Source organism: Homo sapiens, chromosome 17, assembly GCF_000001405.40.
Source record: "Homo sapiens chromosome 17, GRCh38.p14 Primary Assembly".
NCBI classification, from domain to species: Eukaryota; Metazoa; Chordata; class Mammalia; order Primates; family Hominidae; genus Homo; species Homo sapiens.
The window spans coordinates 62,687,719-62,710,015 of NC_000017.11; the positions used below are offsets into that span (position 1 = coordinate 62,687,719).

Sequence of the window (22,297 nt, forward strand, 5' to 3'; positions counted from 1 at the left end):
TAAAAATACAAAAAATTAGCTGGGCATGGTGGTGGGCGCCTGCAGTCCCAGCTACTGGGGAGGCTGAGGCAGGAGAATGGTGTGAACCCTGGAGGTGGAGCTTGCAGTGAGCCGAGATGGCGCCACTGCACTCCAGCCTGGGAGACAGAGCGAGACTCTGTCTTGAAAAAAAAAAAAGTGTCCTAGAGATGATCATGTAAGTTCAAAGGGCAAGATAATGGATGTCAGACAACATTCGGAAGGGTGTTTAGCAGAAAGCAAGATAGATCCTTGTCCCCATCTTCCTAGTGCTTGGCCTAGGCACTGTTGTCATAGCCTTTGACGGCCCAAAGAAATCCTCCCATTTGAAGATCCCCTGGAGTGTGGGCAGGTGTGTGTGAATCTGCAGTGCCAAGCTGGGAGGTGCTGGAGGCTGCCAAGCAGACCCAGCTGTCCTGGTTCTCAGATACTGTTCTCTCCCGGCCCTCAAAGGCCCCCCAGGACCTGCTGCTGAGGGGCGCACAGTGGCCTTTCTGGGTTTGTGGATGGGGTGGTGGGGCTGGCCATTACATCCCCACCTCTGCCCCACAGTGTTTTCAGGTCCAGGGCCAGGAACCCCAGAGCCGGGTGAAGTGGTCAGAGGCACAGTTCTCCTGTGAACAGCAAGAGGCCCAGCTGGTCACCATCACAAACCCCTTAGAGCAAGGTAGGGCCAGCCTATGGGGAGCCCCCAGTATCCTCTGACACTGTCCCCCCAAATAGCTATAGCAGAGTCACTCACAACTGTCTTCTGGGGACCATAGCATTCATCACAGCCAGCCTGCCCAATGTGACCTTTGACCTTTGGATTGGCCTCCATGCCTCGCAGAGGGACTTCCAGTGGGTGGAGCAGGAGCCTTTGATGTATGCCAACTGGGCACCTGGGGAGCCCTCTGGCCCTAGCCCTGCTCCCAGTGGCAACAAACCGGTGAGGATGCCCTCCCTGTTCCCCTCCGCACCGCGCTGCCCTAAGCCTGTGGGGCTGCCTTTGCCCCAGCATCTCTTGCCCCAGGGTCTCCCTTCTTCCAGCCTCTTTGCTCACATTGCAGCCTTCTGGGGACAGTAGCACAGGGAGGCAGCTGCTGGGGCTCCCCTGAGCAGCTCCCTCCCCCCAGACCAGCTGTGCAGTGGTCCTGCACAGCCCCTCAGCCCACTTCACTGGCCGCTGGGACGATCGGAGCTGCACGGAGGAGACCCATGGCTTCATCTGCCAGAAGGGCACGGGTATGTGTCACCAGTCACCTGGGAAACCCCAGTGGGGCCCTGGCACCGGGCTGGATGCTGGGACCATGCCAGGAGGAAGGAATCATGGTCCCTGGCAGAGCAGGGCTCTGCTTGGGAAGCAGATGGGCAGAAAGGCAAGGTGCCAATAAGATGGAAAAGCAATAGCACCCACAGGTCTCAGGAGGAAGATTTGGGGGTATGGAGGGCTCGTTGGGTCGGGGGGAGAGCTAGACGCTGGGCTGCATGAAGTGCTGGCACGTGTGGCGTCAAGGACCCTGAGGTTCCAGGTCCAAGACACCTCCAGCTCCATGCGTAGGTGGCCTCTGCGCCGGGTTCCTTGGGTAGGAGGAGGTCAAGGCCCTCACCTCCCTGTCCATTTGTTAGCAAACATGTATTATTAATAACAACAGGGCTGACACCTACCAAGCCTTGGTCTGGGCCAAGCGCCGAGTCTGGTGGAGACCGGGTCTTTGCCTGGTGTGCGGCCTTCTCCTGGCCTTGTGCCTGGGAACGGGGTGAGGGAAGCAGAGCCCAGCCTGAACCCTGACCCCTTCCCTGTAGACCCCTCCCTGAGCCCGTCCCCAGCAGCGCTGCCCCCCGCCCCGGGCACTGAGCTCTCCTACCTCAACGGCACCTTCCGGCTGCTTCAGAAGCCGCTGCGCTGGCACGATGCCCTCCTGCTGTGTGAGAGCCGCAATGCCAGCCTGGCCTACGTGCCCGACCCCTACACCCAGGCCTTCCTCACGCAGGCTGCCCGAGGGCTGCGCACGCCGCTCTGGATTGGGCTGGCTGGCGAGGAGGTGGGCTCCCGACACTTTTGCCCTGGGCCCCAGCCTTGCCCGGGTTCCCCTCCCTGCCCCTTCCTGCCCCCGCCTTATCCGCACCCTATCCTGACTATTCCCTTCCTCCCACCCCATGGCCCCCCATGCCCAGGGCTCTCGGCGGTACTCCTGGGTCTCAGAGGAGCCGCTGAACTACGTGGGCTGGCAGGACGGGGAGCCGCAGCAGCCGGGGGGCTGTACCTACGTAGATGTGGACGGGGCCTGGCGCACCACCAGCTGTGACACCAAGCTGCAGGGGGCTGTGTGTGGGGTTAGCAGTGGTGAGTGCCCACCTGCCAGGGCGGGGGCATGGGCAAGCTGTCGGTGGCCCCGGGGAGGGTGCTGAGCCACTTCTTAATCCTGTACCCCCACAGGGCCCCCTCCTCCCCGAAGAATAAGCTACCATGGCAGCTGTCCCCAGGGACTGGCAGACTCCGCGTGGATTCCCTTCCGGGAGCACTGCTATTCTTTCCACATGGAGCTGCTGCTGGGCCACAAGGAGGCGCGACAGCGCTGCCAGAGAGGTGGGTGACCAGGCCAGAGCCCACACATGGCGGGCAGGTGGCACCTCCTCTCGTGGGCACTCAGACCCATGAGTACATCCCCACACTGCTCTCTACCCATAGGCAGCACTTACACAAGATGCCCTCGTGCTCTCACATGTGGAGACCATACATGACACTATATGTGCATATGCTGCCCCCCCACACACTTGCACATGTGCACACACACACACATGAATCCACAGACTCCACACCATCCTCTACTCAGGCTGCAGAGAAGAGGGCTGGAGCAGCTCTGGGGGACTCTGCCCCCCCCGGAGACCCATCCGCCCTGACGTGGGCCTTCTTTGCATCCAGCGGGTGGGGCCGTCCTGTCTATCCTGGATGAGATGGAGAATGTGTTTGTCTGGGAGCACCTGCAGAGCTATGAGGGCCAGAGTCGGGGCGCCTGGCTGGGCATGAACTTCAACCCCAAAGGTGGGTGCCCTGTGTGTGGGGTGGAGAGGTCAAGCCTCAGGCTGTAAGGGGCTGCCCTCCACTTTGCCCTGAGCCTTGTCCTGGGGCTTGTCGGGGGACAGGGAGTCGGTTCTAGAACACACCTGCTCTCCTCCACCTACTCCTGCCCCACCTTGTCCCTGCTCCCTCAGTGCCTTCTTTCCTGCAGGAGGCACTCTGGTCTGGCAGGACAACACAGCTGTGAACTACTCCAACTGGGGGCCCCCGGGCTTGGGCCCCAGCATGCTGAGCCACAACAGCTGCTACTGGATTCAGAGCAACAGCGGGCTATGGCGCCCCGGCGCTTGCACCAACATCACCATGGGTGTCGTCTGCAAGCTTCCTCGTGGTGAGCGCCGGGCAGGCCCACGCTCAGCCTCCTTCCACCCCGTGCCGCTGGTCCTGGGCTGGGGCTGGGGGCTGCTTCACAACTGCAGGGGGCACAGCCGATGGGAAGGCCTGAACAGAACGGACTGCGGGCAGCTGGGACCCCCGGGATAAATTAGTCAGTGGGATGGACTGGACCTGAAACTTATCATCCAAACTAGACCACAAGGCTCGGGGGTCAGCAACCCCCTGTCACTTTGTAGTGGTCAAGGGCATGGACAGAGTTCAAGTCCTGGCCATGTCACTTATCAGTGGTGTGACCTTGGGCAGAGTCTGTGGCCTCAGTTTCCTCGTATGTAAAATGGGAATAATAGTAGTTCCAGACTGATGTGGTGGCTCATGCCTGTAATCCCAGCACTTTGGGAGGCTGAGGTGGGCGGATCACTTGAGGTCAGGGGTTCAAGACCAGCCTGGCCAACATGGTGAAACCCCGTCTCTACCAAAAAGTACAAAAATTAGCTGGGCGTGGTAGCACATGCCTGTAGTCCCAGCTACTTAGGAGGCTGAGGCATGTGAATTGCTTCAACCGTGGAGGTGGAGGCTGCAGTGAGCCGAGATCGCACCACTGCATTCCAGCCTGGGCAACACAGCAAGACCCTGTCTCCAAAAAAAAAAAAAAAAAAAAAAAGTCCCGACCTCCTAGAGTGCTAGTGAAGCTAGTAAAGATGAGGTGAGTTAGGGAAGGGGCTGACACCCAGGCCTCCCACGAGGGCTGGGCTGAGACCTAGCTGAGTGCAGCATGGCGTTTTCCCTTTCTGGGGGAACCTGAAGTCTTGTCTCTTGGGCCTGTGCCCCCACAGTAACCAGAGGTAGGATGGGAGGGGGAACTAGAGCCTCTTTCTCCCCAGACCTCCCGGCCCAGGCCTGTGTGCTTTGTATGTTTACTTAAGTGATTATTACGATGATCACTGCTATTATTAACTGGCCCCCTCCTCTTGCCCACAGCTGAGCAGAGCAGCTTCTCCCCATCAGGTGAGTGAAAGGCAATGCCCCCAGGTGGGCAGGCAGGAAGCACTGCTGGGCCTAACGCCCACTTGGCCTTTCACGCCCACTCGCCTTGGCAGCGCTTCCAGAGAACCCAGCGGCCCTGGTGGTGGTGCTGATGGCGGTGCTGCTGCTCCTGGCCTTGCTGACCGCAGCCCTCATCCTTTACCGGAGGCGCCAGAGCATCGAGCGCGGGGCCTTTGAGGGTGCCCGCTACAGCCGCAGCAGCTCCAGCCCCACCGAGGCCACTGAGAAGAACATCCTGGTGTCAGACATGGAAATGAATGAGCAACAAGAATAGAGCCAGGCGCGTGGGCAGGGCCAGGGCGGGAGGAGCTGGGGAGCTGGGGCCCTGGGTCAGTCTGGCCCCCCACCAGCTGCCTGTCCAGTTGGCCTATGGAAGGGTGCCCTTGGGAGTCGCTGTTGGGAGCCGGAGCTGGGCAGAGCCTGGGCTGGTGGGGTGCCACCCTCCCACAAGGGCTGGGCTGAGACCCAGCTGAGTGCAGCGTGGCGTTTCCCTTTCTGGGGGGGCCTGAGGTCTTGTCACCTGGTCCTGTGCCCCCACAGGAACCAGAGGTAGGATGGGAGGGGGAACGAGAGCCTCTTTCTCCCCAGAGCCCCCGGCCCAGGCCTGTTGATCCGCGCCCCAGGACCCCCTTCTTTGCAGAGCCCGAGGAGCCTCCCCTGTCCCCTCGGGCAGATCTGTTGTGTCTCTCTTCCCACCTGGCAGCCTCAGCTCTGTGCCCCTCACCCTGCTCCCTCTCGCCCCTTCTCTCCCACCCCTTCCTTCTGAGCCGGGCCCTGGGGATTGGGGAGCCCTCTTGTTCCTGATGAGGGTCAGCTGAGGGGGCTGAGCATCCATCACTCCTGTGCCTGCTGGGGTGGCTGTGGGGCGTGGCAGGAGGGGCCTAGGTGGGTTGGGCCTGAGAACCAGGGCACGGGTGTGGTGTCTGCTGGGCTGGAGATAAGACTGGGGAGAGACACCCCAACCTCCCAGGGTGGGAGCTGGGCCGGGCTGGGATGTCATCTCCTGCCGGGCGGGGGAGGGCTCTGCCCCTGGAAGAGTCCCCTGTGGGGACCAAAATAAGTTCCCTAACATCTCCAGCTCCTGGCTCTGGTTTGGAGCAAGGGGAAGGGTTGCCAGAGTCCTGGGGGCCCCAGAGGAGCAGGAGTCTGGGAGGGCCCAGAGTTCACCCTCTAGTGGATCCAGGAGGAGCAGCACCCGAGCCCTGGAGTGGCCCAGTACCCTTCCAAGAGGCCACAGTCCCAGCCAGGACAAAGTATGCGGCCCATCCTGGTGCGACAGCGTGGGACAATGTGAACATGGACTCGAAGACATGGCCCTTTCTCTGTAGTTGATTTTTTAAATGTGCCATTATTGTTTTTAAAAAAAAAGGAAAAAAGAAAAGCAAACAAATAAAACACCTTTAAGAGGCTTGAAAGAGAAGGTTCTGCCTTGTCCTGTGGTGAGCCTGCTTCTTCACGTCTGTCCCTTCGGAGATAACTGTTGTTTTGGAGCTTGCACCACAGGTGTTTTCTGCAGCTGGCCATTTTGCGTCTGTCTCTGGGCCTCTAGGGGACACTCTCACCCCCGATCTTTAGGAGCTCACCCCTCTGGGCCTGCGCCTCCCTCTCTCTGTTCCTGGGGGCTTGAATGTGGGTGAGAACTCAGGAGCCAGGCCATCTGCTGCTGAGCAGCCAGCCGTGCAAGCTTGGGCAACTTAGCACACCTCTCAACATGTGCACAGTGGGGAGAACCGGACCCACCTCCTAGGGTTGTTTTAAGGATATGTGAGGATCAAGGGAGCTCATCTGTGCAGAGCACTTAGAACAGTGCCTCTGGGCTCTGCAAGCGCTAGGCGTTACTGCCGTTTCTGGGCTGCGGCTCCAGGGGAGCACTTGATGTGTCCAGGCCGGCCCTGGGTGGGGGCTCCACATCACCGTCCTTCCAAGGCAGCCATCATACCTGCCCTCTAACAGCCTGAAAGTTCACATGTGTCCTTAGGGAGCCTGGGCTCTGAAACCACAGAAGGCAGAATGGACGGCAGGACCTTTACTCACCTGCTTGTTCATTCAGCCGGTATTTGAGCTGGAGATGCCAACAAAGGAAGGTTAACCAACGCCAATCGGGCGAGGCAGGGGGAAGCTGCTAATGTGGCCTGTGTGTCTGGGGAGGGTCTCACTAGAGGGAGTGAGATTGACTGCAGCCTGAAGGAGGTGGCGGAGTGAGCAATGCAAATATCTGGGCCAGGGCTAGGGGGGCATCCCTGGTGCTTTAGGGGACCAGCAGGGAGGCGAGGTGGGCTGAGGCTGAGATGAGTCAGGCAGGGCCAGATTGTCCAAGGCCCTGAAGGCAGTGGTAGAATGTAGCATTATTTTCAGGATAGTGGGAAGTCAATGGGAATGGCTAATCAGGCTGACCTTTTAACAAGATCATTCTGGCTAGGAGTTGAGAAATAGACAATGGATGGGAAACGGGGGAGTGAAAGCAGGAAGGCTGGTGCGGAAGCTCTTGTAATAATTCAGGCACAACAAGACGGTGGTTTGTTGGGATCAGGACTGCAGTAGTGGTCAGATTCTGTGTGTGTGTGTGTGTGTGTGTGTGTGTGTGTGCGCGCGCGTGCGTGTGTGTGTGTTTTGCCCTGTTCATGATATTTAAAATAAGTTTCCACTTTTATGAATAGACAATGCAGTCACGCAGTCTGCATTGCGTGGGATACCTAAATGATATCCCAAGATAGATGTTGCGCAAGTCCTGCCCCTGCCCGTCGCCCTCCAGCCTATACCCTCCTGCCCTGTCAGTTTCCTGTCTTTCCAGTGTTTCTTTGTGAAAGCAAATGAACGCCAGATTGGACTGAAGGGATGGCGGATGCCCTTGCTGGGGATGGGATCTGCCTGGGGAAAGGCAGTGGGAGTCAGGAAGCACTCCAAGCTTCCCGCCTGGACTGCAGGGTGAATGGGGTGCTGTTTCCTGAGACAGGAGCCCTAGGGAGAGCCCATGAGCTGCTGGCCTGAGTCCAGGACTACGGTGGAGCCCAGGGGACCCCCTCCAGCAATCCTCTCTGTGCCGCCCCAGCAACAGCAGGACCCATGGAAGGCGCCTAATCACTCAGGGGAGGGAGTCCCAGTCCTGTGGGAGGTTCACCCTGGAGTGAGTTGCTATCTAGCCCTGCAGCCCAAACAGCTCCCTTTGTGAGTTAAGTGCCCTGCCACTGCCCACAGTGAGAGGTGAAGCCAGCTGGACTTCCTAGGTTGAGTGGGGACTTGGAGAACTTTTCTTACAAGAGGTTTGTAAAATCAGTGCTCTGTAAAAATGCACCAATTGGTGCTCTGTAGCTAGCTAGAGGTTTGTAAAATGCACCAATCAGTGCTCTGTAAAAATGCACTAATCAGCACTCTGTACCTGGCTAGAGGTTTGTAAAATGGACCAATCAGCACTCTGTAAAATGGACCAATCAGCAGGACATGGGCGGGGACAAATAAGGGAATAAAAGCTGTGTCCTCCCCACCCACCCCACCCCTAGCAGCAACCCGCTCAGGTCCTCTTCCATACTGTGGAAGCTTTGTTCTTTCACTCTTCACAATAAATCTTGCTGCTGCTCCTCACTCTTTGGGTCCGTGCCACTTTTAAGAGCTGTAACACTAGGCCAGGCATGGTGGCTCACGCCTGTAATCCCAGCACTTTGGGAGGCCGAGACAGGCAGATCATGAGGTCAGGAGATCAAGACTATCCTGGCTAACATGGTGAAACCCCATCTCTATTAAAAATACAAAAAATTAACTGGGCGTGGTGACAGGCGTCTGTAGTCCCAGCTACTCGGGAGGCTGAGGCAGGAGAATGGCGTGAACCCAGGAGGCGGAGCTTGCAGTGAGCCGAGATTGTGCCACTGCACTCCAGCCTGGGCGACAGAGCGAGACTCTGTCTCAAAAACAAAAAAAAAGAGCTGTAACACTCACCGTGAAGGTCCGAGGCTTCATTCTTGAGGTCAGTGAGACCACGAACCCACTGGAAGGAACCAACTCCAGACACAACACCACAAGAAACATTGGGGGAGAGGCCCCCCAAGACCCTAGTGACTCTAACCTCGGGAGAGAAGAAAGGTCAAGGAGTGAGGTCCGGATCACTAGCTTGAGGGGTGGGAGGGAGCAGCGGAGGGACGGAGGACCCCAGTGGCCAGAGCTGCCCTCGTCAGTGGCTGGTGCCTGCTCTCCTCACGTCTCTCTGCCTTGCTCAGGTGACGAGTCTCCCCAGGGCCCTGCACCCACCTGCAAGCATTTCAGACAGCGTCACGGGTGCCTGGAGGCTACCCCTAGACCTCGTTCTAAGCCTGCCCAGAGATGACTAAGGGAGGCTCCTGCATCTCTCTGAAGGGGCAGGAGGCAGGCTCTGGATGCCGGCCACTCACCCTCTGGCTCAGGATAGCCCTGGTGGCAGTCTCCTTCCTTTCTGCTCATTTCATTTCAATACATCAAGTACCTCCTCTACATACCAGGCTCTTTGCTGGGTGGCAGATGCCCCCAAGCCTATCCTGGCAGGCCTGGGCAATCAGCACTGTATGCCAGGCGCTAGGCCCAGCCTTCACTTGCAGGGTTAACCCGCCCCGCTCTGGCCACCTGGATCCGTGAATGAATGGGAGAATGCGGCTGCTCTCCAGAGAACAGCATTCTCTCAACCGCTTCTTGTCGCGCCAGAGATGGCCTCCTCGAAGGTGTGCTGGCAGAGCTGGCCTGGCCCAGTGGGCAGCCCTGTGAGGCCGCAGGGGTGAGGAGCCGCCAGCCACACCACATGGCTCTCCTGGAACGGAGCCACCTGAGCCCGGCCAAGCCGCCTCGAGCACCAGGGCTTGAGTCCATTGCAGGCACAAGGCAAAGAATTGCGACTTGAGGGAGGACCCGGAGGAAGGCAGGCTGGAGGGAGGGAGGGCGGGCAAAGGACAGCAGGGAAATGAAGGGGGCTGTGAAAGACCAGCACCAGATGAAAGTACCGAGATGTTCCGGACAGGCCTGATTTTCTTTATCTTCGGGGCTGGGACTGCCAAGAGGCCCCGGGGAAAGCCTGCAGGCTTCACTCCCACCAGAACCAGCACCATTTGAGGGACAGATTTCAATCCTTCCTTGGCCAGACAAGCAGGCGGGATGCCAGCGCTGGAGAAAGGGGAGGAGGAGGAGCGGTGGGCAGGCCTTTCCTGCTGGAGGTGGACACGCTGGGGGCGCTGAGGTTCAAGGCCACACAGTGAGGAGTGCAGAACCTTAACTGTCTCCTTGCATCGGCTGATGGCAGAGCTTTAGTTATAGCCATTTCAGGGAAATCCTGGTCAGTTAAGGTTTTCTAGTGCAGTTGGGATTTTCGCCTATATTTCCAGGTGCCTCTAAGGTCCTATGGAGCGTCCAGGTTTCACAGCTGGGGGAGGGACATCTGGTTCCCGGTCATTTATGTCCCCGCTGGCTTATGCAGGGGTGTCCTGCCCTTCTGCATCTCCCTCAGGGACTTGGGGAACCTTGGATGGTGTCTTTCCTCATACTGGGGCTGCAGGGGGCTCAGAACACTGCCTCTGACCCACTATTCCTCCATGACAATGATAATAACAAAATAGGTATTATTTACTATGTACACGCCCTGTTCTAACTGCTTAACACGTATTAACTCACTTAATCTTCCCAATACAACATAAGGTAGGTGCTACTGTCCCCCTCTTACAGATGAGAAAGCTAAGGCACAAAGGTGAAGAACTTGCCATGCCACCTCTCCTCCCTGCACTGGAAAACGTGTTGTGGGGTGGGCAACAGGGCTACAGAGAGCCCCTCGAGATCTTGTAGTCAGGCCTGGGGACTAAAGAACTTTGTCCCAACCTCTCATCTCTGGAGAGTTTTAGGGCTATTTTGAGACTTGAGGGCTAAGAATGACCTCTTTCCTTCTGAGCCTCCACGGCCTCCCTTCCCAAAGCAGTGGCGGAGGGACACCTGGGTCTCCTGGGCTGTGGGGTACAATGCATAGAAATAAAGTGGGGCTCGGTTGACGTATTAGACATTTATACCATTGGGGATGCTTTATTTTATATTTTAGCATTATTTATTTTTATTTTTTATTTTTCTGAGACGGAGTCTTGCTCTGTCACCCAGGCTGGAGTGCAGTGGCGCGATCTCAGCTCACTGCCTCCCGGGCTTCAGCGATTCTCCTGCGTCAGCCTCCTGAGTAGCTGAGACTACAGGCACCCTCCACCAGGCTTGGCTAATTATTTTTTTATTTTTAGTAGAGACCAGGTTTGACCATGTTGGCCAGGCTGGTCATGAACTCCTGACCTCAAGTGATCCGCCCACCTCGGCCTCCCAAAGTGCTAGGACTATAGGCGTGAGCCACCGCACCTGGCCTCATCACTGCCTTTTAATAAATGAGGCTGTCCTCTTGGAATCTCAAGCCATGAAAAGCCCCATATGGCAGGCAGACTCCTGCCAGGAAATCAAATTGATAGTGTGGGTAGTCCCCAGCTCCTCAATGTCTACCCCACCCTGGACCTCATGGGAAGCATTCCTGGTTGGGTAAATCCCTGAAACAGTTTTGGCCGGGCGCCGTGGTTTACGCCTGTAATCCCAGCACTTTGGGAGGCTGAGGTGGGCGGATCATGAGGTCAGGAGATCGAGACCATCCTGGCCAACATGGTGAAACCCTGTCTCTACTAAAAACACAAAAATTAGCTGGGTATGGTGGCGAATGCCTGTAATCCCAGCTACTCGGGTGGCTGAGGCATGAGAATCGCTTGAACCCAGGAGACAGAGGTTGCAGTGAGCTGAGATCATGCCACTGCACTCCAGCCTGATGACAGAGCGAGACTCCATCTCAAAAAAAAAAAAAAAAAAAAAAAAGAGTACAGTTTTTCAAAAACCTGATTTTCTGATGTAAACCTGTGATGGTCTCCTCAGCTGCCTCAAACACTGTCACATCCTACTGTGGATTCAAGCTGTCAGGATGTTTACACGGCCACCTCAAATTCCATTCCGCTCTCTACAAAAACTTATTTTTAGACGTGCACTGTCCCTTCTTATACATTCCTCAGTACTGGATCCTGGACAAATCTTTAGTCAACCTTAAAGTTTAGTTCAAAAGGCTCATTTTCTCATAGAGTTTGAGGCCATTTTTGTGAGTGGAGGAACTTGAGGTTTTAGGAATTTTATTTAAATCATGGAGATATTTTCGACTCGAATGGCTCTTAACTTTGATCTTGGGTCTAGGCTGCCTGGTTGAAACTACTACTGGTTTTCTTTCTTTTTTTTTTTTTGAGATGGAGTTTCGCTGTGTTGCCCAAGCTGGAGTGCGATGGCGCAATCTCGGCTCACTGCAACCTCCGCCTCCTGGGTTCAAGCAATTCTCTTGCCTCGGCCTCCCAAGTAGCTGGGTTTACAGGCATGTGCCACTATGCCTGGCTAATTCTTTTTGTGTTTAGTAGAGTTGGGTTTTCGCCATGTTGGTCAGGCTGGTCTAGAACTCCCGACCTCAGGTGATCCACCCACCTCTGCCTCCCAGTGCTGGGATTACAGGCGTGAGCCACTGTGCCCAGCGAACCTACTGGTTGGTTTTCAAGAGTTGCATCACTTTAACTGGAACATATCGGAAGAGTGGGACCAGATTTTAAGGTGAGTCAAGCCTGGCCTTCCTAAAACCCTATTGACTCCTTAATTCAGCTCAGGGCACCCCTTTGCCGCAAAAATCTCATCCTTTGAGACCCCTAGGAGAGGGTGAGTCGGGGAAGCAGGGGCCTCTCCTAGTCTGAGAAGTCTTAAAGGCAGGGGGGAGAAGTGCCGCCTCCTCATTTCATCTTTCTCTCTCGTTCTCCTCTCTCTGCCCTTTCTCTGTCCCTCCCTCCATTTTTTAGAAAATCTATAGAGGCAATGAGCTTTAGCAAATTTATCCAGTTGTGTAAATATTGCCACAAAGCAGCTTTATAACACCTCACTCACCCCCAATAGTCCCCTGGACCCTATTTGCAGTCAATCCCTGCTCCTTTCCCAGCCCCCAGCAACTACTGATCTGCTTGCTGTCTCTCTAGTTTTGCCTTTTCTAGAAATTGTGTAAAATGAATCATATACTATGTAGTGTTTGGTGTCTGGCTTTTCTCACTTAGCATAACATTTTTGCATGTACCGTAGTTTGTCCCCTCCATCTTTTATTATTATTATTATTATTTGTGACAGGGTCTTGTAGCCTTGTCTACAAGGCTGCAGTACAGTGGTGCGATCATGGCTCACTGCAACCTTGACCCCCTAGGCTCGTGCGATCCTCCTACCTCAGCCTCCCGAGTAGCTGGGCCCACGAGGGTATGCCACTACACATGGCAAATTTTTAAATTTTTTTTGTAGAGACAGGGTCTCGCTATGGCCCAGGCTGATTTCAAACTTCTGGGCTCAAGCGGTCTACCTGCCTTGGCCTCCCAAAGTGCTGAGCTTATAGGCATGAGCCACCATAACTGGCCCTTTTATTTTTATTTATTTATTTTTGAGGTGGAGTCTTGCTTTGTTGCCCAGGCTGGAGTGCAGTGGTGCGATCTCAGCTTACTGCAGGGGTTCAAGTGAATCTCATGCCTCAGCCTCCCAAGTAGCTGGGACTACAGATGTCCACCACCACGCCCAGCTAATTTTTTTTTTTTTTTTGGTATTTTTAGTAGAGACAGGGTTTTGCCACGTTGGCCAGGCTGGCCTCCAATTCCTGACCTCAAGTGATCCATCCTCCTCGGCTTCCCAAAGTGCTGGGATTACAGGTGTGAGCCACCATGTCCAGCTCTTTTATTGTTTTTTGGCTTAAAAAACAATTTTTTTTAAACAAAAACACACACACACACACACGTACTCAAACACACTCGCACACACAATTTTCTCACTAACCCTCTGACCTTCCACCCCAAGTCCTGACTTGGTCTTTGGGCCCTAAGATGCAATCAGGAAAAAAAGTGTGGAGTCCACACCCCAGTTGGGTCCTAAGTGGGTACCTACAGGGGCAGCCACCATCCAGCCTGCCCCAGCCCATGGGGGCCCAGGATGTAGCATCCCCAGTGATGGTGGGAGCAAGGGAGAAGTAGAGGTGAGATGTGGGCTGTGACATGTGCTTCCCTCTCCCTCCAGCTTGAGACCCTTGGCCTCTGACCAAGGCAAGTGAAATAAACATGAACGAAGCTGGGAGAATAATGTCAGTTTACTGAATGAATACATGGCTCGAGTCCATTCAGGGTGGAGTGAGGCCTGGCAGGTGCCCTCAGCAGTGGGACCCCAGGCCACTGGACCTGGCAGGGCTTCTGGGCTAAGGGGGCAGCACCAGGCCAGCCTGCCAGGGGCTCCACAGTCCCACGCTGCTTGACCTGTGCTGTCTGGGACTAGACTGGTCGCTGTGGCTGCCCATAGATGCTCAAGCCAGACCCCAAAAGAGAGTGGCACGAGGTGAAAATCTAACTGTGAACGCTTTGGTTTCAGTTTCAGTAAAGAGGAGGAGGGAGGGAGGCACTTGGGGACGTAGAAAGAAGGGCTGGCGGGAGAGGTCTCCGCCGAGCTCCACAGTTGGCTTCCTTGCTAGACGACCTGGCTTTGAGAAATGCTGCCTTCATTTCCATCTCCCAACTCCGAATCTGGAAGGCAAGAAGGTGTTTCAGGCTGGAGGGCCGCAGCAGACCGTGGGTCTGTTACAGGGGGCACGGCACTGCTGCTTCATCTTCTCCCACCCCATCCCTGAGGCCCAGCCACCCACATGGCCACAGTGCCTGGAACCGTGTGGGGAACAGAGACCTGCAGTCTGGGGCCGGGGAATCCACAGACTGCCCCATTGGGGTTTCAGCCACACCAGCTTCCCCCAAAGACAGCATCTTGGTCATCTCCACGTCCCCACATAGCCTGGTGCAGAACTTGTTTTCAGGCTGAATAGCTGCAGGGGCCATTGCTTCCTCTCAGGGTAAGGCCCCACTTGAACCCCCGCTTCCTAATTTGGCAGGGAAGGGGGAACGGACCCAGGTGTTTCAGGAGTCTTTCAGAAATCAATGGCTGGATGCAGAGGGACAAGTGATAGGACGGGGAAAGGGAGGGAGAGCAAGAGGCACTGGGACGCAGTGCAGTCCCAGTGGAGGAGGTGGAGTTGGTGGGGGTGGGTGGTCTCCTTTATTCTTCGGGGAAACTCTTGTCTCAATATGTTTCTTTCCCCCTTGGCTTGAGTGAATGCTCTCTGACAATTTAGAAACAGTTTAAGCCAGGCGTGGTGGCTCACGCCTGTAATCCCAGCGCTTTGGAAGGCCAAGGGGCGGGGGGCGGGGGGCGGCGAATCACTTGAGGTCAGGAGTTCGAGACCAGCCTGGCCAACATAGCAAAACCCCATCTCTACTTAAAATACAAAAAATTAGCCAGGGGTGGTGGCGGGTGTCTGTAATCCCAGCTGCTTAGGAGGTTGAGGCAGGAGAATCGCTTGAACTTGGGAGGCAGAGGCTGCAGTGAGCCGAGATCGTGCCACTGCACTTCAGCCTGGGTGACAGAGCGAGACTCCATCTCAAAAAGAAAAATAAAAAAAGAAAAAAGAAAAGAAAGAAAGTTTCTGCCTGTTGTGGAAGAAACTGTTGCACGGAGCAGGAGCAACTGACATCCCCTCAATCCTACCTGGACCCTCTCACCCTCTCAGTTCTACCCAAGGAAGCCCAAGCCCCTGAGCTGCCCCCATCCCCTCGTCCATCCTGCGCTTTCTCCAAAAGCCAGTAGCCTTGACTGGGTGTTTGGGGAGGTGCTCTGGCCCAGCCTTTGGCCAAGGGCCCTCACACCCGCCCCTGTTCCTGCCCCTGTCCTCATCTGTTTGCATATCTGCAGGAGGTATTGCCCCCACTACCGACCCACCACCCCTTGTCTTGGTGACACTGGGAAGTTATTTGTGCCACTGGGAAGCAGCTGTCCTGGTGCTGGTTCCTGGGCACACCCAGGGACTCTCCCCAGCTGCCCTAACCTCGGTTTCACTTGTGGCATTTGTGTGAGGCTTTGGTTCTCACGTGCAAGGGAGGGGGGCCTGGTCAGCAGGCTGGCATGGGCACCACAGAGTCACAAAGAGGCTGGCACCTCTCTGTGCTACCTGGTGTGCCCTGATGTTTTGCCTCTTTTCCTCCTGTGTACCTCAACCGAGCTAGGGCAGCAGGTCACAGCTGTGACTCACCTCCGGCAACCCATATTAACAAAGTGCTGCCAACCAGGCGAGTCATGCCAGGATGCCAGGGGACCAAGGGAGTGTGGCCTATGGGGGAGGCTGGGTGCCCATGGCTCTGCCAATGGCTACCCTGGCTCTTGTCTTGAGAACGGCTCTGGCGGGAAGCCAGGCCAAGGCTGCGACTGGTCAGCACCCCAGGATGGTCCCTCTGTGCTGGGTTCTCCTCGGCCTCGGCTGTGCCCACCCGTGTCTGGGGTGTGTGCTGAGCTGGGGGCAGGTGGAGATGGCCTGGGCCTCCAGGGGAGAACTGGCTGTCTCCACCTTGGGGCCGAGAGCGGCAGGGGAGGGTTGGTGATGGGGTGGATCCTCCAGCGGGTCCCAGTTCCCGGAGGAAGGATGACAAATGAGTGTGGGTCGCTCCCTCTGTGGGACCATTTGCCTCGGAGCAGCAGGGAAGGGCGGCAGGTTCCCTGCCTCCCGTGGCGACTCTTTTCGGAGCACCACCCTAGGGATGTTCTTCTGCCCTCCGGAGACGTCGGTCTTCCCTGGGGCCGGGGCTCAAGGCCAGGGTGCCCCAAGCCCAGGCTCCAGGGTGTGCGGGGAAAGGCTCGGTCCTGCTCGGCGCGGCTCGCCCTGGGCACTAGGGGTCGCCCCTGCCCAGCGGAAGCCACGCGGGCGCGCCCGGTCGCCGCAGGTTTCCCCGGACCGGGAAAAGCGAGGCGTCTCCGGGGCGGGGCTGGGGAGGGGGCGCCTGGGCGCGGCGCCGGGACCCTGCTGCCCTGTCCTCCCGGCCGCGGCTGGACGGAGCGCGGGGCCGCAGCAACCAGGCCGGGCTCCCCGTCGCGCCCCTTCCGGAGCGGGAGGCCCTCGCCGAGGCGGAGGCTGGGACGCGCGGGGCGGGCGGCGGCGGGGAGCCGCGGGGCCGAGGCGCAGGGCGTTTTCCCCGGAGGTGCGGCGTGCGCCCGCGACACAAAGGTCTTTTAAAGACCTCGCAGCGCCCTTCCCGGCTGCGGAGGCTGGAGGCCCGGGGGGGCGAGGCCGGGGTCGGGGGTGGCCGCGCGAGGGGGCGCTGGGATCGGCCAGACCCCGCGGTTGCGCCCGGGCTGGGGCTCCCGGGCTCCTTTTGTGGAAAAGAGCGGAAAGCAGGGCCCTCTCCGGGTCTCTGAAAATGGTCAGTTCGGCTTCGCAGGGCTGCGTGCCCGGAATAATAAATTGGCTTCTCTAGGGTCGTAATCTGGGCCCCACCCCGAGCAGCTTTGAGCTGGTTCGCGCCTTCCAGGCAGGACTACTGGGAGTTCTCAAAAGCACCCCCGCAGTCGGCTGTGTCAGGATCACCTGGGTCCGGTGTGAACACGATTCCAGGGCCCCACCCCATCGCCTGAAGCGGAATCTCTGGGCGGGGCCCAGGAAACCGAGTTTTTGGTGAGTTCCCGGGTGATTCTGATGGCAAAGCCCATGTGGGAGCCACTGTTCTAAGGGCTTTTGGACAGGCAGTTGTGAAATTTTCCCCCAGAAGAATCTCTGGGGACCCAGTTGTCACACACCGCTGGATTCACTGCGGTGTTGATTCTGCCTCCTGATGAAGTTCTTCCCGAGTCTGACTTCGAGCCCGCCTGCTTTATTAAGCACGTTTTTCTCCAGTCGTTTTTTTTTTTTTTTAATGGAAAAAGGAACAGGGAGAAGGCTTTTCTCGAACCTGTTTGCAGAGAGCCGTCTTGCCCGCTTTGAGGGCCCTTTCTTGGGAGACCTGTTTGCTTTGTTCAACCTCTGAATTCAGCAGACCCCAAATCCACCAAGGCCACTAGCTTGTGAGTGAATGTGGTCCCTTCAGGTAAGGGCCAGACAGCCCCTGCCAGGGCTTGGGGAGGGTTTTCCTAGAGGAATCCTGGCAGTAAAAAAACCAACCCCCAAACTCTCCAAGTGCTGGACGCTGGAGAATCCCAGCAAGGAAAAGGAACAAATCTTATCTCATGCCGGAAGATAACCTCTTCCCTTTGTTGGCGCCTTTCCTTGCGTTCAGGATGAATTAAAATTCTTATCTGCTCTGCATCCAGTGAACTTGGCCTCGCCTTCCTGATTGTTTGCTGCGGCTGACTTTCCCAAGCTTTGCGGGGTTATTTTTGCCTCTGGGTGGTGGTCATTCCTTCCTTCCATGGCATTTGGTTCCACACAGTCACAGAAAAAGAGTAATTTAGCAAACACCCTCAAAATGGCAGGACTGGCCCCCAAAACCTACTTTCATTTTCCTCTGTTCTGGGTTGTGGGTAATTTCTTGACAACTACAAGAAAGAAGACAATGAGAAATGAATTGTTTTTTCCAATACGATTGTGAACAGATGTATAACCTCCTAGTCGCAGCAACGTTCTAGGAATCCCTTACACCACTTTAAAGGGGCAGGAAAATGGGCAGAGGTGCTGAGGGCTGGGTGAGTGCTAAGCATTGGCAGGGCTCAGCCTCATCCTGACGAGAGCTGCAGCCATAACCTGGGTCACCTTTGCTGTCTCGGGCTTCTAAATTTGGCAGCGAGAACAGACTCGCTTCCTTTGAGCAATTGATCTGAATAGCAGAATCCCATTCTGATGGTCCGAATCACATTTACAGGCTGTGGGGGTGAAGGCCGTGCTAATTGGCCACTTGCCTCACCACTGGCTTTGAAACAATCGCTTGTATTCTCTGCGCGGCAGGAAGCAGCAGACCCATCAAGGCCCTGGGCTCACTCTTTGTTCTGACTTTATGGCATTTTATGCCACAATAAGAAACACTGTGTACTCCGTGGGAGCCCATTGTGCCAGGCTGCAAGGATGTGGGCTCCGGTGCAGAGGGCCTGGTGCTCTTCCCCAGGAAGAAGAGGGGCTTTGTGACAGGCTGGGGGACAAAACAAGGGGTGCTGGACACTGTTACTGAGGCAACTGCCTGGCCAGTGTGGAGGCAGCTTTAGTCCCTGGGACCGTTTCTGTGCCCAAGGAGAGGGAGGGCAGGGGAAGGATGGAATTTCATCTAGAGTAGCAGGTCCTGGTTGCCTGGTAAATTATGCATCAGGACTGGGCTAGCCACTGCCTCCGTTTTCTCTGGGCTCCTGAGATAACCTCCACCTGCCTCTAGATTCTGTGCCAGCTGATCGTTATCTATCTCATCAACTCTTGTTCCATCAGGAAACTGCATCTTGGTGAGTGGGAAGTTTTTGTGACTGTGGACCAAACCTGGGCTTCCCATATTTTGGGTTGATCTGGGCCTTGGAGGGAAGAGCTTTCGGTTTTGTAGAAATGATGTGGATAGGAACTGGGGTAGGCACAGTCCATCCAGTCTCACACGTGAATGAACCAACGGGGATTTGAGAATGGCTTCTAGATCGTACCTGCCCCTCCGGCCAGCCCCGGGGCTCCCTTCCCCTGCACCTAGCCTGAAGTTTTCCACCATTAACGGCACACCTGGGGCAGAAGACAGAGTAGGGTCCTTGCTCCAGGAGATCGTTGTAATAATCAGATAGAGACAAGACCTGAGCTGGGAGGAAGCCAGGACACGGGGGATGGGGGACCAGGCCCTGACAAACGGAGTGCTCCGTGTGGGGGCTGAAAGGGAAGGAGGAGAGGGAAGGCAGGGCCATTTAGCTTCACCTCAAAGGTGGGGTAAAGTGAGGCTGGTGGGTCCTGTCTTCTCTGGAGATGCTCCCCGATGGGAGGAAAGGCCAGCTTCCTGCCGGCCACTTGCAGAAGCGAGCATCCAGTGCTTCCGCCAGCCTGTCCCTCACCCCAGACCCAGCCCTGTCCTTCCCATGTCTGATGCTCCCACACGGGCCCCCTTATTACCCCGTGCCATTGCAGCAGCCTCCCGGCTGGTTTCTTTCCCCTGCAATGTGGCTGCCCAAGTTCTCCTCCCAAAACCCACATCTCCTGGCCTGCCAATCCCAGGCTGGAAACTGTTCCATGGCCTCCAGAGCCGCTCACAAACCCTTCCCGCCCCACTCCCTGCCTGCACCTTAGGCTCATTCTCTGCCCTCCCTGGCCACACACCTCCCTGACTTTCCCCAAACATGCAGGTCTTTCCATGTCTCTGTGCGTTTCCATTTCCCTCTGCATGGAACACTCTTTCCCATCACACCTACCCTTGCCCATCTGCCAAACCCTCCAGGATTCTGGGTCAACATCATCCCCACGGTGGATCCATTGGTGAGAGCAATAATGAAGCAGGTTTGCCACCAGGCTCCCAAAGAAGTGGGAACACTGACTGCAAAGGGCACAATCTGATTGGATGAAAAGCGAGGCCTCAGAAGCATTGGCACGTGTCCGCGAAGAGCCTAGCTGGAGGTCTGTCCTAGAGGAGGGGCTGAAGGAGGGGCGAGAATGGCAGCGCTCCATTTCATCCGACTGCTCTGTGTTCCTCACATCTGACCCAACCTTCCGTTACAACACAGGCACATTTGTGGATACTCTTGGTTACATGTGTGTTCTCTCCTTAGATTCTGAGTCTCTTCTAGGAAAGGAGTGTCTTAATCATCTTTGTATTCCCAGAAGCTAGTTTAGAGGCTAGTATGTAGTAGGTTCGCAGAAAATCTTTGAATAGCGGCTGAGGTGGGAAGATTTCTTGAGACTAGGAATTCAAGACCAGCCTGGGTAAACTAGCAAGACCCCCATCTCTACAAAAAATAAAAAATTAGCCAGGTGTAGTGGTGGATGCATCCCAGCTCCTCAGGAGGCTGAGGTGGGAGGATCACTTGAGCCCAGGCATTCAAAGCTGCAATGAGCTGTCATCCCGCCAGTGCACTCCAGCCTGGGCAACAGAGTGAGACCCTGTCTCAAAAAGAGAAAGAAAATCTTTGAGTAAATAAATATATGTTGAACTTGGAAGTATTCCTTTACCTAGAATATTGTTCTCTGCAAATTTTGTACTATCACTTTCTCCAAAACATAACTCAGGACTCGCCTCCTGGAAAAAGTAGGTTCTTTTTTTTTTTTTTCTTTTTGAGACAGAGTCTTGCTCTGTTGCCCAGGCTGGAGCGCAGTGGCGCCGTCTCGGCTCACTGCAAGCTCTGCCTCCCGGGTTCACGCCATTCTCCTGCCTCAGCCTCCCCAGCAGCTGGGGCTACAGGTGCACGCTGCCACGCCCGGCTAATTTTTGTATTTTTAGTAGAGACAGGGTTTCACCGTGTTAGCCAGGATGGTCTCGATCTCCTGACCTTGTGATCCACCTGTCTCGGCCTCCCAAAGTGCTGGGATTAAAGGTGTGAGCCACCGCACCTGGCCAAAAAGTAGGTTCTGATTCAGTAGTTGACTGTGCATCAGAATGTTACTAAGCACCTATTAGGTACTAGGCATTTTCTAGGCACTGGAGGCCTGTGAGATATAAAAGAGATAAAGGTTCCCGTGCCCAAGTTGTTAATGAGTGCCCCCAACCCATGCAGGCCACTTCCTTATCTGGCAAAATCATTTGGGACGTCAGTAAACACTCAATGTTCCTGGTATCCATAGTGCCAGGGACATGGTCAGCAGTCAGATGTGACTCACTGTGGGCCCAGCATCATAAGAGGCAGGCATAGAAGGCCTGGCTTTGCATTCATATAGCTCACAACTTCACTGAGGAGACCAGTTGTTTATGGGATTGCAGGAAACCCCAGGAAGCCCCAGCCAGGGAAGAGCTTATGTTGTCAAATTCACAGCCTGTAGGAATTCACTGGGTCCACTAGTTCTCTTGCACAGGTGCTACTTTCCAGTTATTTCCTGGTTTTATAAATATGTGTCTCCTCTTTCAACTCCTTGACAAGCTCTTTACGGAAAGGGACATCAGGGCGTCATGTCTAGCGTCTAGTAGCTTCTTTCCCTGATCCTCATCTCCGCACCTGGTACAGGGCAGTGCATGAATGGATGACAAATGATCACCACCATTAACAGGCATTTGTCAGCCGGGCACGGGGGCTCACACCTGTAATCCCAGCACTTTGGGAGGCCAAGGCAGGTGGATCACCTGAGGTCAGGAGTTCGAGACCAGCCTGACCAACATGGTGAAACCCTGCCTCTACTAAAAATACACAAATTAGCCGGGCACAATACACCGATAATCCCAGCTACTCAGGAGGTGGAGGCAGGAGAATCACTGGAACCCGGGAGGCAGAGGTTGCAGTGAGCTGAGATTGAGCCACTGCACTCCAGCCTGGGTGACAGAGCAAGACTCTTGTCTCAAAAAAATAAAACAAAAAAACAAAACAAAAAAAACGAGGCATCCATCACTGGGTCTCTTCATGAGACACAACCAAGAAACACAATGTGAGTGAATTCTCCAGTTCTGGTAGATGAAGGAGAGGGAAGGAGGGCTTCTCTGCTGACTTAGTGCCTCTCTTTTGCTCAATGTTACCATCAGATTCTGAATGTTTTCTACGAGAAATTACTGAGATGCAAATCAAGAAGTGTGAATTTAACAAGAGCCAGTTGGTTTCCTACTTTCATTTGGGTGCCTTTTTTTGTTTTTTGTTTTAAACAGGGTCTCACTCTGTCACACAGGCTGGAGTGCGGTGGCACCAATCATGGCTCACTGCAGCGTCAGCCTCCCGGCAGCATCAACGGCACCGGGCCTGGGTGCCTCTTAACTGGTTATCTGTACCTGTTACTGCTCGGTGGTCTAAGTGGGTGAGATCAATTTCAGGGTTTCTCCAGTTCAATGTGAGCTTGTGGTGAGAGAAGAGTGTCCCTGGTCCCTCCTGCTGCTTTTTGCTCTGGTTCCC

General features: G+C 55.6%; 2 protein-coding genes and 1 long non-coding RNA gene across 19 annotated transcripts in view, besides 5 other annotated features; 2 read left to right on the plus strand and 1 right to left on the minus strand.

Annotated features, from left to right (window-relative positions):
• Positions 1–5,879, plus strand: part of MRC2 (mannose receptor C-type 2) — a 65,928-nt gene extending 60,049 nt beyond the window's left edge. The window contains exons 21-30 of one of the 3 annotated variants that reach the window (NM_006039.5): positions 571–685; positions 783–946; positions 1,134–1,242; positions 1,804–2,042; positions 2,176–2,344; positions 2,438–2,587; positions 2,924–3,043; positions 3,231–3,410; positions 4,394–4,420; positions 4,513–5,879. In NM_006039.5, the coding sequence (NP_006030.2) occupies positions 571–685; positions 783–946; positions 1,134–1,242; positions 1,804–2,042; positions 2,176–2,344; positions 2,438–2,587; positions 2,924–3,043; positions 3,231–3,410; positions 4,394–4,420; positions 4,513–4,733 (1,494 nt within the window). In that variant the 3' untranslated portion in view covers positions 4,734–5,879. The other 2 variants (XM_047437208.1, XM_011525543.2) reach the window with 2 other exon arrangements.
• Positions 4,222–4,883: an enhancer, noted in NCBI's record as "H3K27ac-H3K4me1 hESC enhancer chr17:60769301-60769962 (GRCh37/hg19 assembly coordinates)". NCBI's record gives its function as "activates a minimal SCP1, AML or CMV promoter by ChIP-STARR-seq in naive H9 embryonic stem cells {active_cell/tissue: H9 hESC(naive)}" and the evidence as "EXISTENCE:reporter gene assay evidence [ECO:0000049][PMID:30033119]".
• Positions 4,884–5,545: an enhancer, noted in NCBI's record as "H3K27ac-H3K4me1 hESC enhancer chr17:60769963-60770624 (GRCh37/hg19 assembly coordinates)". NCBI's record gives its function as "activates a minimal SCP1, AML or CMV promoter by ChIP-STARR-seq in naive H9 embryonic stem cells {active_cell/tissue: H9 hESC(naive)}" and the evidence as "EXISTENCE:reporter gene assay evidence [ECO:0000049][PMID:30033119]".
• The window catches only part of MARCHF10 (membrane associated ring-CH-type finger 10), a 107,001-nt gene continuing 98,299 nt past the window's right edge, over positions 13,596–22,297 (minus strand). For 9 of the 15 annotated variants that reach the window (XM_005257102.4, XM_005257100.4, XM_005257098.4 and 6 more), the window contains one exon: positions 13,596–14,040. In XM_005257102.4, coding sequence (XP_005257159.2) covers positions 13,891–14,040 — 150 coding nt within the window. In that variant the 3' untranslated portion in view covers positions 13,596–13,890. Of the gene's footprint in view, positions 14,041–17,186; positions 17,864–22,297 lie in introns of those variants that run through there. The other 6 variants (NM_152598.4, NM_001288779.2, NM_001100875.3 and 3 more) reach the window with 2 other exon arrangements.
• Positions 16,139–16,548: a silencer, noted in NCBI's record as "silent region_8811". NCBI's record gives its function as "represses an Ori minimal core promoter by ATAC-STARR-seq in GM12878 lymphoblastoid cells {active_cell/tissue: GM12878}" and the evidence as "EXISTENCE:reporter gene assay evidence [ECO:0000049][PMID:35858748]".
• Positions 16,727–16,953: a silencer, noted in NCBI's record as "fragment chr17:60781806-60782032 (GRCh37/hg19 assembly coordinates)". NCBI's record gives its function as "represses an EF-1alpha promoter that drives an FKBP-Casp9 reporter gene in an ReSE screen in HepG2 liver carcinoma cells {active_cell/tissue: HepG2}" and the evidence as "EXISTENCE:reporter gene assay evidence [ECO:0000049][PMID:32094911]".
• Positions 17,816–18,607: an enhancer, noted in NCBI's record as "OCT4-NANOG hESC enhancer chr17:60782895-60783686 (GRCh37/hg19 assembly coordinates)". NCBI's record gives its function as "activates a minimal SCP1, AML or CMV promoter by ChIP-STARR-seq in naive and primed H9 embryonic stem cells {active_cell/tissue: H9 hESC(naive and primed)}" and the evidence as "EXISTENCE:reporter gene assay evidence [ECO:0000049][PMID:30033119]".
• Positions 18,488–22,297, plus strand: part of MARCHF10-AS1 (MARCHF10 antisense RNA 1) — a 31,717-nt gene continuing 27,907 nt past the window's right edge. The window contains exons 1-2 of the long non-coding RNA NR_147886.1: positions 18,488–18,751; positions 19,714–19,889. This is a non-coding gene — a long non-coding RNA (MARCHF10 antisense RNA 1). The remainder of the gene's footprint in view (positions 18,752–19,713; positions 19,890–22,297) is intronic.